The 16,254-nt window shown below is 37.3% G+C and overlaps 1 protein-coding gene across 3 annotated transcripts in view, besides 1 other annotated feature; it reads left to right on the top strand.

Annotated features, from left to right (window-relative positions):
* The window catches only part of PTN (pleiotrophin), a 116,393-nt gene extending 101,521 nt beyond the window's left edge, over positions 1-14,872 (top strand). For 2 of the 3 annotated variants that reach the window (NM_002825.7, NM_001321386.2), the window contains exon 5: positions 14,138-14,872. In NM_002825.7, coding sequence (NP_002816.1) covers positions 14,138-14,193 — 56 coding nt within the window. In that variant the 3' untranslated portion in view covers positions 14,194-14,872. The remainder of the gene's footprint in view (positions 1-14,137) is intronic. The other variant, NM_001321387.3, reaches the window with a different exon arrangement.
* Positions 111-612: an enhancer, noted in NCBI's record as "NANOG hESC enhancer chr7:136926348-136926849 (GRCh37/hg19 assembly coordinates)". NCBI's record gives its function as "activates a minimal SCP1, AML or CMV promoter by ChIP-STARR-seq in primed H9 embryonic stem cells {active_cell/tissue: H9 hESC(primed)}" and the evidence as "EXISTENCE:reporter gene assay evidence [ECO:0000049][PMID:30033119]".
* Positions 14,873-16,254: the final 1,382 nt, after the last annotated feature.

Below are 16,254 nucleotides of genomic sequence, written 5' to 3'. Positions count from 1 at the left end.
GTGCAAGACTCAACTGTGTGCAGGACACAGCTTTTGGCAGCTGATTATTAAATGGGAAAAAAGGGGTCAGGAAAGTGATATTCCCAGCATTCTCAATTCTCTCCCCAGCTAAATAGATTCTTTTGTTAGTTCTTTTAAAGATAAAAGAAGTTCCCCCCAACATTTCTGTCTATGTTCTGGGCTCTGACATCCCTCAGGAGTGAGCATGGCAACACTGTATGGATGGGCTTTGCTAGGCTGGGAGACTTTTAACTGTGTTGAGAGAGGTGAGGGGGCAGAATCCCACCACAGGCTGGCCTGGGACTGGCTCCCTCCCCTCGAAGGCCCCCTGAAGAGGTTGATGATTACTGCCCTTGTACTTGGCCAGAAGAGGCAGCATGGGGTACCCTGTGGGAATTCTGTTCCTCTTGATCAGAGGAAAACACTTGTACTCCGTTGGGTCTCAAGTTTTTATTTCTTTTTTATTCTGCTTGTGAAAACATCTTTCAACACCTATGTTTTATTTTCCATCCATGATACCGTACTAGAAGTGGGGAGATCTAACTCTATCCTTTTCTTAGTAGAATGATACCTATTTTGTCTTCTCTAAATTAGAGTTGACAGTGAATATACCATAGGATCGTTATAAAGACAAAATGAAGCACTGTAAGTAAGAATGCTTGGTAAATATGCAGTATTTTAAAGACTATTTCCTTTCTTCCAAATGAATTTCTTGAAGTAGGTGTTTTACCCTCAGCACCTTTTCAGGCAAAAGGAGAATTATGGTGATTACAACAAAAGTGATTATAGTTTATATTTACGGAGAGCTTAGTGTGTTTTGAGTAAAGTTTAGTGCATTGCTCACACAGGGTGTCATTTAATATTCACAAAACTCTGTGAAATAGTTACTGTTATATTTATTTTTACATACAAGGAAACTGAGGCTATAGAGAATTTAGATAATGATATGGCTCTGTTTCCCGACACAAATCTCATCTCCAATTTTAACTCCTAGGTGTTGAAGGAGGGACCTGGTGGGAGGTGATTGTATCATGGGGGTGGTTTCCCTCTTGCCGTTCTCCTGATAGTGAGTGAGTTCTCACGAGAGTTGATGGTTTTAAAGTGTGGCACTTCCTTGCTCTCGCTGTCTCTCCTGCTGCCATGTAAAATGTACCTTGTTTTCCCTTCGCCTTCAGCCATGATTGTAAGTTTCCTGAGACCTCTCCAGCCATGCAGAACTGTGAGTCAATTAAACCTCTTTTGTTTATGTATTACCCAGTCTCAGGTAATGTCTTTATAGCAGTGTGAAAATGAACTAATACATATACCTAGCACAAGGTTATACCACTAATATGCAGAGGACTTAAATGCAAGGCAGTCGACTCTAGAGCTCCTGCAGCATGCACAGCTCCTTCTTCTGTGTCATTCCATACAGGTATCTAAGTTTCTTACCTAAGAAAGTGAATGAATTTTAGACCCACCCTGACTCCTTAGCAGGCTGTCTTGCTCGTGTATCTTCCTGGCTGGGCACTTGCCTGATCTTTCTCTAGACATTGCTTACAAACTTTGCCCCAGCCATACCAAACTCCCAAACTCCAGGAGACAGCAGACTGGGCCATGATTTCTTATGTGTCCATTTCTTTGCATCTGTAGTTCTTGAAACCTGGAACTGTTTTCCTTCTTCTTTTCTTTCATACATTTCTACTGTTCTTTCAGCAAATATTTTAGCGAGCAAGTGCTATGTGCTCTAGTTAGCACCAGGGATAAATTAATGACCTTACTGGTCTTACAGTGTAGTAGGAGAAGCAGAGGGATAAATTCCAGTGTACCACATAGAGTGGCAAATGCTATGAGACAGAGAAGTGGAGAGTCCTTTAGCATTGTTTCTAATGTATTCATGTTTTTATAAAATCTATTAAGAGCCTGCAATGGAGCACACAGTATGTTAAGTGCTAGTGATATTAGACAAACACGGTTCCTTCCCTCTGACTGCTGTGTTCTACTGGTGGTGGTGGTGGGTGGACAATGAAGGAAAAAGAGAAATAAATAATAATTAAATCAGTAAATACCTCTTGGCATAAGTGACCTTAAAAACTAAACAGAACCAAGTGATAGAGTGATGGGAAAGGAGTACGTGAGATAGAGTAATCGGGGAAAGCCTCTCGGACAAGGTAACTTTTGAACTTGGTTTGGAAGAGAGAGAAGGGGCTAGCCATACTGGTGTTCTAAACGAAACAAGCAGAAGTTCAAAGTCCTTCAGGCCAAAGAGAGCTTGTTTTGCTCAATGACTAGAAAAGGGATCAGTGTTAAAACTTGCCAGACTTCCCTTCCCAAATATTAAGTCACGGTCTCCTCTGAGAGGACATGTCACTCCTGTGATAAGGCATCCATTATGCTGTACCGAGGGCATGTTTCCCTCTCCTAACAGGCAAACTCTTCGTATACTACAACTTATTCACTTTTGAAAATTATATCATATACTATGCAGCCATAAAAAATGATGAGTTCATGTCCTTTGTAGGGACATGGATGAAATTGGAAATCATCATTCTCAGTAAACTATCGCAAGAACAAAAAACCAAACACCGCATATTCTCACTCATAGGTGGGAATTGAACAATGAGATCACATGGACACAGGAAGGGAAACATCACACTCTGGGGACTGTTGTGGGGTGGGAGGAGGGGGGAGGGATAGCACTGGGAGATATACCTAATGCTAGATGACGAGTTAGTGGGTGCAGCGCACCAGCACGTCACATGTATACATGTGTAACTAACCTGCACATTGTGCACATGTACCCTAAAACTTAAAGTATAATAATAAATAAATAAATAAATAAATAAATAAATAAATAAAAAAGAAAATTACATCTTATAGTCCCTAGCCCATGAGAAAACTCAAGGAAGAATACTGACTTGAATGAATGAATGATGTATCCAACTAAATTGTCCTGGTCTAGCTCACTAGGCTACATCATTCACACTGGCTTCAAAAATGTGTAGAGAAATCACTGTGAAGGCACAATGAGCTCACTTGGGATCAGAGTCATTTGTGTGTTTTACTCCCCCTCCTTATTGAAGAATTTTTGGTCCTAATTGCTGGGGCAGCTGTGAGAACTAGCAGCTATAAATATTTGTAGGTTTACTTCAAACTGTGTGTCTGCTTTCATCTCCCTGGGCACATTCCATGCTCAGAGGGTCATTAGCTGTGTACTCACAAAACAGCTATAGAGTAATTAGTACTAAGGAAAGCTGCATATTAGTTATTGGGTTTCGGGACCTCCTTTTTGCTTCCTGAAGCTTTTGCATTTCTGTCTTCTAACTTCCAAATTGAGGCTTTCTGCTTGTGTTTTAAGTTGTACCTGTTGTTATTTATTGAGTATTGTAAAAGTGTATCCTATTTATTGAGTATTTATGATATGACAGGCATTATACTAAGCCGTTAGCCTGCATTGTCTCACTCAAGCTGCATGGCAGCTAAAGTAGTTTTATTTGTATTTTACAAAATAACACACTAAGGTTGCAACTTGCACAAAGTTACCCAGACAGTGAATGATCAGTCTTGAACTTGAAGTCAGGACAGTCTGTTTCCAGAGTTCTTTTCCATTGTACCAGTGCTTCCCAAACCAAGTGATCACTGCCGGATCTCTTTAGGTATTCTAAAAGAAATTAATAATTTGTTTTTTGTTTCCATGATAATCCTAAACATTCGTATAAGCATATTCAGAGTTATTTATGACTGATTGAGCCCTGTTGGATAATTTCTGGCCTGAGCTTGTCTTTGTATAAAAATTACTCTGAAAACAAATGATCACTCTTAGTGCTGCATTTTCAATCTAGGGTTCTTTAAAGCAGCTATGTTCCTTGAGAGTAAGGGCGAACAGCAAGGTGACTTGTTAACCCAGAGCTCTCCCAGGCTGGGCCCTGGCCTGGATTCATGATTGTCTTCCCTCCGCTATGACATTCCTAGCAATTCTGGTGCTTCACCACAATTTGAGGGATGGCTGTCCTGGTAACTGGAACTGCTGGTGGGGACACTTGGCACACTCCCAGTCTGCTCTGCTTCTCACTGATGCAAACCTACAGGGAAATCAGAGCAAGCTTGTTGTTGTTCAGTGCACAGAGGCCATGAAAATAAAATAATAAAGACTTTTTCTAGAGGAGTAAACAATATTTGTAGAAGAACTCATCAGGAATCCAAAGAGCAAGAAGGAAGTAAAATTGTTCTAGCGTCCTAGTGTTCATGCATGCAGGCGGCAAGGCCCACAGATATTGATGGCAGGTTAACACATTCATGATCCTTTCTCTTGCTAGGCTTTCAAAAATTATTTTTACTCTTACAGAAAATAGAAAAAAACATTTTCAGATCTTCACCTAGATGTACAAGAGTAATAAATTAAGCTGCTCTGAAGGCTGCTGTCTAAAAACATGTAAAGTATAGAGAAAGATCTTCAGATCTACCTTTTGCTGCTGCTGCTATAGACAGATTGCTGGGTCTTTTGGGGCAGAAGAAATCACGTGGTGGGGAATAGCTCACCTGCTTACAGCTGGGAGGACATGTTTGAAGGGGGGTGAAAGAATTAATGCAGTAAGATTTGTGAAATCACTGGTGAGCATAAAACCTTATATTGCTTAGCACCTAAGTTACATATTTAAATGACTTAAAATTTAAAAATTATTTAATTCTGGAGGACAAATTTAAAAATAACAATAAACTAACATCCTATTTTTCACCTCTACAGCTAGTGAATATGCTCTGAAGGATACACAAAAATGAAATATAGTCTGAAATCGAATTCGCGGATGCATTAGTCTGCTAGGGCTGTCGTGACAAAGTACCATAGACTCAGTAGATTAAATATAACTTTATTTTCTCATAGTTCTGGAGTCTGAAAGTCTGAGATCAAGGTATTGTCAGGGTTGGTGCCCTATGAGGCCCCTCTTCCTGGTTTATAGACAGCTGTCTTTTCCTTGTGTCCTCACTATATGTGTCTGTGTTCAAATTTCCTCTTCTTGTAAATGCACCAGTCATATTGGATTAGGGTCTATCCGAATGCCCTCATTTTAATTTAATTGCCTCTGTAAAGACTATCTCTAAAATATGTTCTCACTCTGAGATACAAGGGTTAGGAGTTCAGTATGAATTTTCAGGAGGGATGCAAGTCAGGCCATAATAACTGATTCTATTTAACTATATCTATATCTATAATTTTTTGAACCAAAAGAAAGATTTATTTGGTAATGAATAGGAAAAACATTTATGGGACTGTACCTACTAAAATTTTAAATATACTGGAGTTCAAACTTTGCCCTTTTTTCACAGATTAAAATTTGATTTCCTAGTAGTACTGGCTATATTATATTAAACATTAGATATGATCATAGAAAATAATGATTAGCTAAGTGTGAACTACTTATTACTGTTTATAATACTACATTTCATTTCTAATTTACAATAGTTTATAATAAGGCAAATTTTCTACCTCTGCCCTCATTATTGCAGAAATAAGCTCCTCATTATTGCAGAAATAAGCTCTTAAATATTTAAATGTCATATTAGAGATAAATCGTTCTTTTGTGTTTAGGTATAGAGGTCGATGAATCTGTGGTGTGGGATGGTCACTGTCAAGAAGTATAAAATCTTGAGAGTGGTCTACAGATAGAGGAAGGGCAGAGGCTTTTGCTAAACAAAAGAAACTCGGCATTAAATCCACATCTGTGGTTTTCTCTCTCTCTGTCTGTGTATGTGTATGTGTGTCTGTAAATAACAAATAAGGATGGTATACATGTTTTGAGCTAAAACTAGGAGTTTAAATGACAATTTTCTACTTGGTATACATGTATGTATGGGTCAGATCAGGGACTGATCCCAACACGCTCATGTGTGGCTGATTCCCCCACCCCTGACTCTACTGTGTAAAGAAAGTGCATCCTGAATGGGCCCTTTATGATTTGGAGAAGCTATAGATATCTCAATTCCTTCTTATAGAGAAGGGAAAATGGAGACACAGGAGTGGGGAGAGTTTGAGAAGATGGTAGAGAGGAGTGTTTGGGTGAAGGGAGATGGATTCGTCTACTGATGCAACTGGTGAGTTGATTTGAAAAATAACTGACATATTGGGGACTTTTATTAATTTTGTTCTGCATGGTTGATGAAGTAATTTCATCTTCACTAAACCTTCTATTAAATCTACTTTATTCACTAGTGCTTTCATAGCTAAACTTTCTGTTTTTAGGAGATGCAGTTAAATGCTGAGCCGCCTCCCAAAGTGAGTGGGGGGGACAAAACAGGTTCCTGAAATTGTCTAGATGTGTTTAGTCTGCATCTAGACACAAATATATGTACTATCTTTTATTCACGTATACTTGATATCAGAAAGCAAATGAGTGCAGAAGAGCAGATAGTTGAGCAGGAGTAGAAGGAGTAGAAGGTATTGCTATGAAATAGAGTTGATGAATGAAGAGGAAGGTGGACAGTGAGGGAAAGAAGAGGTGTGGATGAAGCAAAGTATCAGCATGTGGGTAGCACTGAGGGGCAGTATGCATGTACACATGTTTTCCACACATATCGTAGAAGTAAATGCATTGAGTCCATAAAAGAGGAAATGAAACAATTGATGCTACAAAATAGGAAATCAAAGAAGAAACAACAAAATTATTGCATAGGCATTGGACTGAACTACATCTGTGAATAACACATTAAGCAAATGTTTAAAAGATGATACTTTTGATTTTTAACAGAAATATGTTTCTGTATTTTGCCACTTAATTTATGCTACTCATTTAAACTGAAATATTTGGAAATTGAATGAACAGTGCCACGTTAGGCAGCCTAGCCAACCAGTACCTGGATTTTAGTTCCTGAATCACTGAGCTGTATGTTCACAATTCGACAAGCCTTGTTATCAGTTCTGAGGCATAGCTGACGTGGGGCGAGGGATTAGGTAGTTCTAGATGACTAGGCAGTTAATTCTTAAGCACAGGTGAGTTACTTTAAATCGGTTCACAAAGCATTAAAAGGATCTTGGTGATATGCAGGCTTTTGAACATATTTACGTTGCGATGGTACTGTTTGACAGGGATATGATCCTTTTTCTGTGATAAGTCCTTGTGATTTATTGAACAAGTCTCCAAAAGTGAACTTTCAGTGGTCTTGATGGTATGCCTCCAACTGTTCCTTTTCAGCTGTCTCTCTTGACCTCTGCAATGTGCATTTCTGAATGATTTTAGCTTCTTTTAGCTAAAATGAATTCTATCTCTTAGAAGGTGCACATTTTGTATTTCTATTCTAATCAATACTTCCTCCCACTGCTTTAATAACCCAAAGACACTTTATTTAAGTCAGCAGCGAACAGGGCCTGAGTCACTTTAGTTAAAATCTGGGCTCCCCTCAATCTGAAATCATTTCATCTCCTAATTTCCTTTTTAGTTTTTCTGTATACACAGCAGGCCATCTGAAAATAAGTAATCAAAGCAAGACCTTTTACTGAGAAAATGAGATAAGCTTATTTCAGAATTCTCAACTTTCTCACTTCTTGAAAAACATGTCCCCTTAAGGTCTTTGAACAATCTTTAAACAGATGTCTTTCTCTTAAGGCCCACTTCCAATCTGATTTCTCCCAGATTTTCTTAATATTGAAAGTGGGGAGTTGATGTTTACTTATACCAACTACATGGCAATTCTATTTCCAAAAGGCTTGTGAAAAGATAGAAAACAGATGATGCTTGTTGTCTGATTATTTGCCTTTCAAGAGTAACTTTGCTGTGATAGACTCATATAAATTGCTGATAAGAATTTAAATTACTACTTCCTTTCAAAAAATAAATTTCCCGACACATATCTGGAGTTTTTAAAATGTCCTGCCCTTGGATCCAGTACATCCTTTTCTAATAATCTATACTAAGGCAAAATTTAAGCATTCGATGATTTGTGAACAAAATCAGCATTGCATCATTATTTATAATAACAAGAGGTCAGAACTATCCAACTGATGTACAAAAGATGAAAGGTTACAAAATATATGGAGTAGGATAATATAAAGGAATATTACTTGGTCACATTTCAAAGTATATGCAATGACATGGAAAATAGATACAATTGAATTTTTAGCATAAAATACTATATCAACTGTCAATATATTCCTAAGTAAAGTCATAGAAAGAAAACATAAATAGAACTCGTTAAAAGTGTTGTTTCTACATTGTGAAGTTATGAGTAATCTCTCTCTCTCTATGTATGTGTGTGTGTATATATATACATATATATGTATATGTATACGTGTACATATACATATATATGTATACATATATACATATATGTATGTGTGTGTGTGTGTGTGTGTTTCTTTGGTTTTTATATGAGTCTGTAATACTTTTTAAATGAGACAAGTAATTAATATTTTTTAAGAAGAATGAAATAACCCCAAGAGGAGAAACCCTCCTTTTCCTTCAGGGTAAATCTACTGTAGGTATACTCTTTCTTTCTAGTAATTCATTCTCCTTGTGGCTGCTCTATTTTTCACAACACATGTCTCTGGATTGTAGTAGTAAATTAGCAACAAGAAAACCAGGTCTCAAAACCATAAAAATAGCTGCCACATACCCATGATCTTTAATATAAATATGTACTTTAAAGCACTTTACAATTTTGAAAGACTCTCCCATAAAGCCACCTTGAAAGTGTTGTTTGTAATGTCAGCTGTGTGAAGGCAGAGTTTTGTCTTGTTCACCTTTATACCCTAGCGTCTAAAACAGTGGAGATGGAGTGCATATTTGCTGAATCAATAAATTAATGTGTTTTGAACATTAGTGGTAAGATGAGATTGCAGAGGACATAATCTCACATGATACTAACACTGGCCCTCTGAGGAGGATATAGGTTTTATTATCCCCAGTTTATAGGAAACAGAGGCAGAATGATTGATCTGCACAAGATCACAGAGCTGGTAAGTGGCAAACATCTATTTGAACCAATTCTCTAGATTAGGGCTTAGTTCTTAGTATGATTCTAACAAAACTTCATGATTTTTTCATTGTCTCACCGTACCTAAAGGCCATGGTGTCACTTAATACGTTAGCATTTATCAAGATTTTGTTTTCTATTCAGCATAGAAAAAAACACATGGGCTCAGAATTGTAACACGGCTCATATTAATTTCTACTCATTCTTCTCACTGCATTTACTGTATTAGCCCATTCTCGTGCTGCTATGAAGAAATACCCAGAACTGGGTAATCTATAAAGAAAAGAGGTTTAATTCCCTCACAGTTCCACATAGCTGGGGAGACCTCAGGAAACATACAATCATGGCGGAAGGCACCTCTTCACAGGGTGGCAGGAAAGAGAATGAATGCAAGCAGGGGAGATGCCAGACACTTATAAAACCATCAACTCTCATAAGACTCACTCACTATCACAGAATAGCATGGGGGAAACTGCCGCCATGATCCAATTACCTCCATCTGGTCCTGCCCTTGACACATGGGGATTATGGGGATTACAATTCAAGGTGAGATTTGGGTGGGGACACAGAGTCAAACCATATCACTGCCTGTCTTCTTTCTTATCAGGAGTTGTTATGCATTCAAAGAATTTCCTTGGATAAATTCTGAGTTTTCTAGATTGAATATGGTGAACATGGCCCTTTGGATCCTATGATTCATAGCAATGTAAGAAGCCTGAATCCTTTCTAGAGTACTTTTTCTTAGTAAAGCCTTAGGACTTTCTGAACACTTTCAAACGTATCTTAAAACAATGTATTTGTATTTAAAAACCCCCCACAAAGTTACAAAAATACACACCTACTATTTTTTCTCATCTCTGTATCCCAATTATTATGAGTACTAGCCTCTATCAACTCAAAAACTGGCCAAAGAAAGGATGAAAGTTTGAAAACCCAGGAAGTTAAAATCTACCCAGGGCACTGCTGTGAGATTCCAGTGCAGTGATGTCCTGGTAGGAACAGAACAAGTCACCTTTCAGGCAGGTGCCCTTTACTTTCACATGTTGACAATGGCTCATTCTCTGTTTATATCCATTTCTGCTTTGCAGCCTCAATCCAGGCAGGGACAAGGGACATGTGGCCCGGGGTGTTATTTGATGTGTGGTGTATGTGTACTTCCTTCTCTTGATTTGGCTCTGTTCAATGTGAACTAAAGTGCCCTACTGTTCACATCAGGGTAGGAATCCTATTGGCTCTCAGAACCTTCTAGAGTAGCCGCTATATGACTTCAATAAAAAAGCACTTGGCTTTAACTAATTATAGCCCTGCTCCAGGCTAATTTGTGACCCACATCTCATAGTAAACATTTCTCTCTAACCTTGAAAGGCGACTAAACTGGGACAGTTTTACCCACAGAGTTTAATCAGGTCTCTATTCTAAAGACAAAGTTTTAAGAAACCTGGATAAATTTCATATACGTATGTTTGTAAGTTTTCTTCTTCATAAAATATTTGTCTTTAAAGATAGACTGAAATTTGACAAGATTCTAATTGGATTTACACTCCTTACTTTCCTTGAGAAATACTCTTTTCTATATAGTAATGGGTTGAACTATTTCCCATTCAAGTATTCATTTATCCACTCCGCATGCAACAAGTATTTCATGAATGCTTGTTATATCTCAGGCACAGAATATACAGTTGCAACATACAGATAGGGTCTCTATTGTCATAGGAAAGGAAAAACACATACCAAATAATTAGAGACAAAATTAATAGTTCAATTCTAGTTTTGGAAAAATCAATGGGAGGCACAATGAGAGTGTCTGTGCACGGAATCTGCTTATCTGAGAGCTCTTGGAGGGCTTCCCTGAGAAAATGCAGTTGAGGCTAAGATTTTAAGGATGACTAGGTGCTGACTGTGCAAATTGGGGTAGTAGGAGAAGGAACACTCAGGCCAAGAGGAAATAATATGAAAAGGATAAGATGGAAAGAAGCAAAGAAAAGTCAAAGAACCGTCATAAGGAAGATGGGTGAGACATATTATCACCATGTTATGGATCCATTTATTTTCACTAAAGCTTTACTAATCAGCTTTTACACACAAGGCCCTGTGCCATGGGTTGGAGGTACAACAGAGAGTAGAAACTGCACCCTCTCGCAGCTTGTATTTTGGTGGCAGTTACAATGCTAGAGATAGGTGCTCTAACAAGAGCAGGAAAGAGAAACAACTTCTAACTCACACTGCGAGGTCAGCAAACTAGAAGTGATGTCAATGCTGGTACCTGAAGGATGGGAGGCATTAATGAGACATGTCGTAGTGGAAGTGTGGGGTTGATGAAATGAAGAGTGAATTTGAAGGCCAGAGACTAGAGAGAAAAACAGACAAAGAGAAAAGATGTATTTGGGGAACTAAAATAAGCATAAGTATGAAGATGGAAGTAAAGAGGGGCAATGTGAATGTTTCAGTTTCTTCATCTATTACGTAAGGGCGTTGGACCACGTTCTTTCTAGGTCATAGATTTTGTGATACTATTTTAAACCCATCATGTATACTAGGTAAAGATTGAGAGGTTGTTAATAAGTTTTTGAGGCCACAGAGATAAGCAGTGACAAAGCTCATTTAGTCTTTCAGTTGAATGTACATAAAAGTCACAAAAAACTGCTTTCGATTGGAAGCAATATTACTGACCTGATTTTTTTTCACAAAAATTTGAACACTTTGTTATGTAAAAAACTAAACTGACCTTATTGCAAATATGAATTCTTCCCTCCTTCCACTACTTTTTACTGAAGACTCTTTATTTTTCTCTTTAGATTGAGCCCAGAGTAGACTCAAGTTCTGCAGGGTGTCCGGACAGTACCATGATTACTTGCCACTTGTGTCAGAAGAATAAGTTGATTGACATTGTACAGATTTAATAAGCAAATTGTTGATTTCCTGGTATTTAGCAAGTTGTCAATTAAGGAATAAGACACCAATGTCAGGTTCAGGGTTACCTAAGAATGTGCTCTTGCCTTTACCAAGAAGAATTTGGTGACAGATTCCTATTCCCAAAGTGTTCTTTGAAATGGACAACCTTACATTAACAGATCAAATAGTGTCCAATGTTCAGAATAATTTTAAGTTTTATGAAACTTTTATACAAAAACCTGGTTAGTATGTCATCTGCTCAGACTTATGTATGAAATAGGAACATGTTAGCCAAAATATGAAAATTGCTACTTAGATATCCACTCTACTGGAGACCTAGAAGATAACAAGTTCCTGAGGGTTTTCCAGGAAGGGACATGAGGAAACTGAGAGAGGGAAAACCAGAGTTAGGTCTCAGTTGAAATCCTACATTGTTCTCTGAAGATACCATCCTAATATACAGCTGTTGCCTAAAATGTTGACCAAAAATTGGGAATTATTACATTTTCAGACACTGAATAATTTTTCGGAAATTACACATAATGTCTCCTTTGATCTAAAATGTATCTTTCACTTGGAAATTCTGGTCATTACACCTCTCATAGGGTGAAAGAAAGATATTTGAGAAAACAAACAAAAATAGAGAGCGTGAAAAGTTAAATTTCTTTAGTATAGAAATGGGGCAAACTTGGGAAGTCATGAATGGAATGAATACAATTATGGACAACAATTTAGCCTGGGTTTAGAAACTGCTGACCCACTTGCATATAGTGTACCCTTGAAGTTTGAGTAAAGGAAGATTAGGACAATTACATTGAACAGAAATACTACTAGTGTGTAATGGACTTTGGAACCTACTTGAAGAGGTCATGAAGATAGTATATAGAAATGGAAAAGTTTCCAGCTCTACTTAAGTATGAGCTGAGAAATATACAATATTTCTAGTTGGCATCATATCATATCTTCTGTCTTCATAAGTCTTATGGTCCTCTTGGACACAGGCTGTATGCTCCAGTGAACAATGACCTCATCCCTGTTGGTCATTGTTTTTGTCCCAGTGACCCTATGTTGCTTAGCACATTCATTGACCTGCTCAATCAATATGCCTTGATAATGATTAAGGATTTTAATTATACAGGGTAATGATCTCTTGTTCTTGCTCTATTATCACCCTAATGATAAATGCTAACCTTAATTGAGCACATGCTATTGTATCATGTTCTGTTCTCAGTAGATTTTATAGAACAGGTTTAATTTGGATATAAACCGTATGCTTACTATCATATGCTATGGTACTTTTCATATGCCTATTTAAAGATGAGTAATCTAAGAAACAAATACATTAAGTAACTTTCTCAGTGTCTCACAGTAACTTAATGATGTGGCCAGGATTTAAACTTCAGCAGTCTGACTCCAGAGCCTGTACTTAACCAGTATATTTCTGCCACTACTATGGACCAAATTGGAGAAGTGGCTCAGAAATATTTAGCAATATCCCCTCACTTGCTAACCCAGTGATTCTGACCATTTTTGTCTTTGGAGCCAAATTAGATGTGTTCTATTCTACATTGCATTCTCCTGTTAGGAAAAGAGAAGTGGAAAGATGGTTGAATGGAAAAGAATGGAGTCTTTTGATTGAAATCCTCAATGTTTTACTTTCCTACAGCCTATGTTGACACATTCCATTTGTTTTACCCCAAACTAGGAGTTCCTGTAGGCAAAGCTCCAGAGAGAGTACATATGGTTTATAGCCGGTTCTTTTTACATAGATAGCTGGCCAAATATATAAGCAGAGGGCCGACCTGGAGTGGAACCACTTTGCAATTGTTTGCTCAGAAAATATACTATCAAAGAGTCCTACGGAAAGGGAATGGGGGAAATGAGGGGCTAAGCAGAGCTCTTGTAGTTTTCCATTGAGCAGTGACCTGGGTAATTTACTAAGAGATGTCTGCTGTATTTCTATTTTCTAAGCAGGACCCCAAGTCAATATCTTGCCTATCAAACAAAGGCAACCAGTAAGATAACAGGCATTTGTAGAATTAACACAGAAGCAGGCTATGTTCCTCCTGCCCACTCTCACAGGCACTCTTTTGTCAAAAGCAGACAGACAGACAGACAGACACACACACACACATGCACATACACATAGTGTTTTCTCAGTTTACCAAGAGAACTACCAAGAGCAAACAACTTGTGTATCAGTCTGGTCAATTATAAGAAATGTGGCTATTTCTTCCCTGCAATTTAGTAACTTGACATTTTTCTCTTTCTCTCTTTCTGTCTCTCTTTTTTGTAATCACAGCAGAATCTAAGAAGAAGAAAAAGGAAGGCAAGAAACAGGAGAAGATGCTGGATTAAAAGATGTCACCTGTGGAACATAAAAAGGACATCAGCAAACAGGATCAGTTAACTATTGCATTTATATGTACCGTAGGCTTTGTATTCAAAAATTATCTATAGCTAAGTACACAATAAGCAAAAACAAAAAGAAAAGAAAATTTTTGTAGTAGCGTTTTTTAAATGTATACTATAGTACCAGTAGGGGCTTATAATAAAGGACTGTAATCTTATTTAGGAAGTTGACTTATAGTACATGATAAATGATAGACAATTGAGGTAAGTTTTTTGAAATTATGTGACATTTTACATTAAATTTTTTTTACATTTTTTGGGCAGCAATTTAAATGTTATGACTATGTAAACTACTTCTCTTGTTAGGTAATTTTTTTCACCTAGATTTTTTTCCCAATTGAGAAAAATATATACTAAACAAAATAGCAATAAAACATAATCACTCTATTTGAAGAAAATATCTTGTTTTCTGCCAATAGATTTTTTAAAATGTAGTCAGCAAAATGGGGGTGGGGAAGCAGAGCATGTCCTAGTTCAATGTTGACTTTTTTTTTTTTTAAAGAAAAGCATTAAGACATAAAATTCTTTCACTTTGGCAGAAGCATTTGTTTTCTTGATGAAATTATTTTTCCATCTGAGGAAAAAAATACTAGGAAAATAAATCAAGGTGATGCTGAAAAAAAAAGTTGTTTTTGTGTTCAATAATGTGATTTTGTAACCCTACTCCTTTAGTCATTTATACTTCCCCAGTCAACTTATTAGCACAGAGAAATCGTCATACAAACTAGCTAAGTCACTCTTGGGCACAAAGGTCCCATAGTTTTTTTTTTTTTTTTTGTATTTTCTATCAGTAATTAATAGGTTAAATTGGTACTAATGAATTCAACAAAAATTTCACAATAGTCTAGGGTTTAGTGGAGCAGGAAAATGCTCTTATAGTGGATATATGTGGGCTAGCAACAGTCCAAATCAGGATCACTGTAATGATGTGCAAAATGGTAGTTTGGGCTTAGTTTCCATAAACCAAAAATTTTCACTTTGTTACATGCCATGAGTGCCAAAGGCTATCTGTACAACTTCGTTATCTGTTGGCCTCTAAGCACAACTTTTAAGTAAACAAATCTGTTCTCCTATTATTCAGGGAATAATAGAAAATTCTCTGGGATTATCTTTAAAGTATTTCTCTTGACATGCTCTTTAATTCTAAAGTGATAAGACTCAATAAACAAACACCTATCTACCAAGATAATTGCTAAGTCCGTTTTAGGAAATGATGATTTCAGTCTACCCTGGGCTACCTATAAAATATATAATTACATGCTGGTCTAATGATGCAGCCAAAGGGTCTTAGCAGCTAAACTACTTTTGCCATCTAGCCTAAGACTCTACTTGAGCTAGAAATGTTGAGCAGATCCATTTCTCCCCTCTACATCAAAGCCAACTGTCAGTGGGGAATAGAAAAAAAGGATGAACTTCCAGGCATTTTATGGACTGGTGCTTAATAAAAAGAGTGCCTAGTAAAGTGCAAATGATAGAAACATGAATAATAAATGTAGTCCTTTTACAAGCTGACCTTAATTGGAAAAAGTACTCATGGGGACGGATGGAAGAGAAAAAAGAAAGGCAGTGTCTTGAGTGGATTTTTTGACAGCAGAGTTCCAAAGGGATGGGATGATGGAAGAGCCTGTTGCAAATTTTGATAGCCTCTCAGCTAACATTGCTCCTCTAACACATTTAGCCAAAAACAGCAGCCCGTGAATCAGTAATGAGTTAAGGTGAGCTAGAACTAAATCTCCCAAGGGAAAAACAGTCCTATAAGTAACTGGCATACTCCTTTATTCACAGGGCATGGCAGGAAGCCAAAAGTGAAAGATTTCTCTGCTGTGTCAACTATTATACTTAGCAAACCCTAGAATAGCTCCCTGATTCTCCCCTAAAGCAAAGATTGGTATGCTAAGCTCCCTTATATAGAGTGTGAAATTCAACATCCCTTAAGTCTCAAGAATTATTCTACCCCAGTCTCAGCTTTAAACATCTTGTTAAGTCACACTTAAGTGTTGAAACATA

The sequence above is a fragment of the Homo sapiens genome, chromosome 7 (assembly GCF_000001405.40).
Source record: "Homo sapiens chromosome 7, GRCh38.p14 Primary Assembly".
Taxonomy (NCBI): domain Eukaryota; kingdom Metazoa; phylum Chordata; class Mammalia; order Primates; family Hominidae; genus Homo; species Homo sapiens.
Note: the sequence above shows the minus strand (reverse complement) of the source record. Positions and strands in the feature narration are given on the sequence as shown.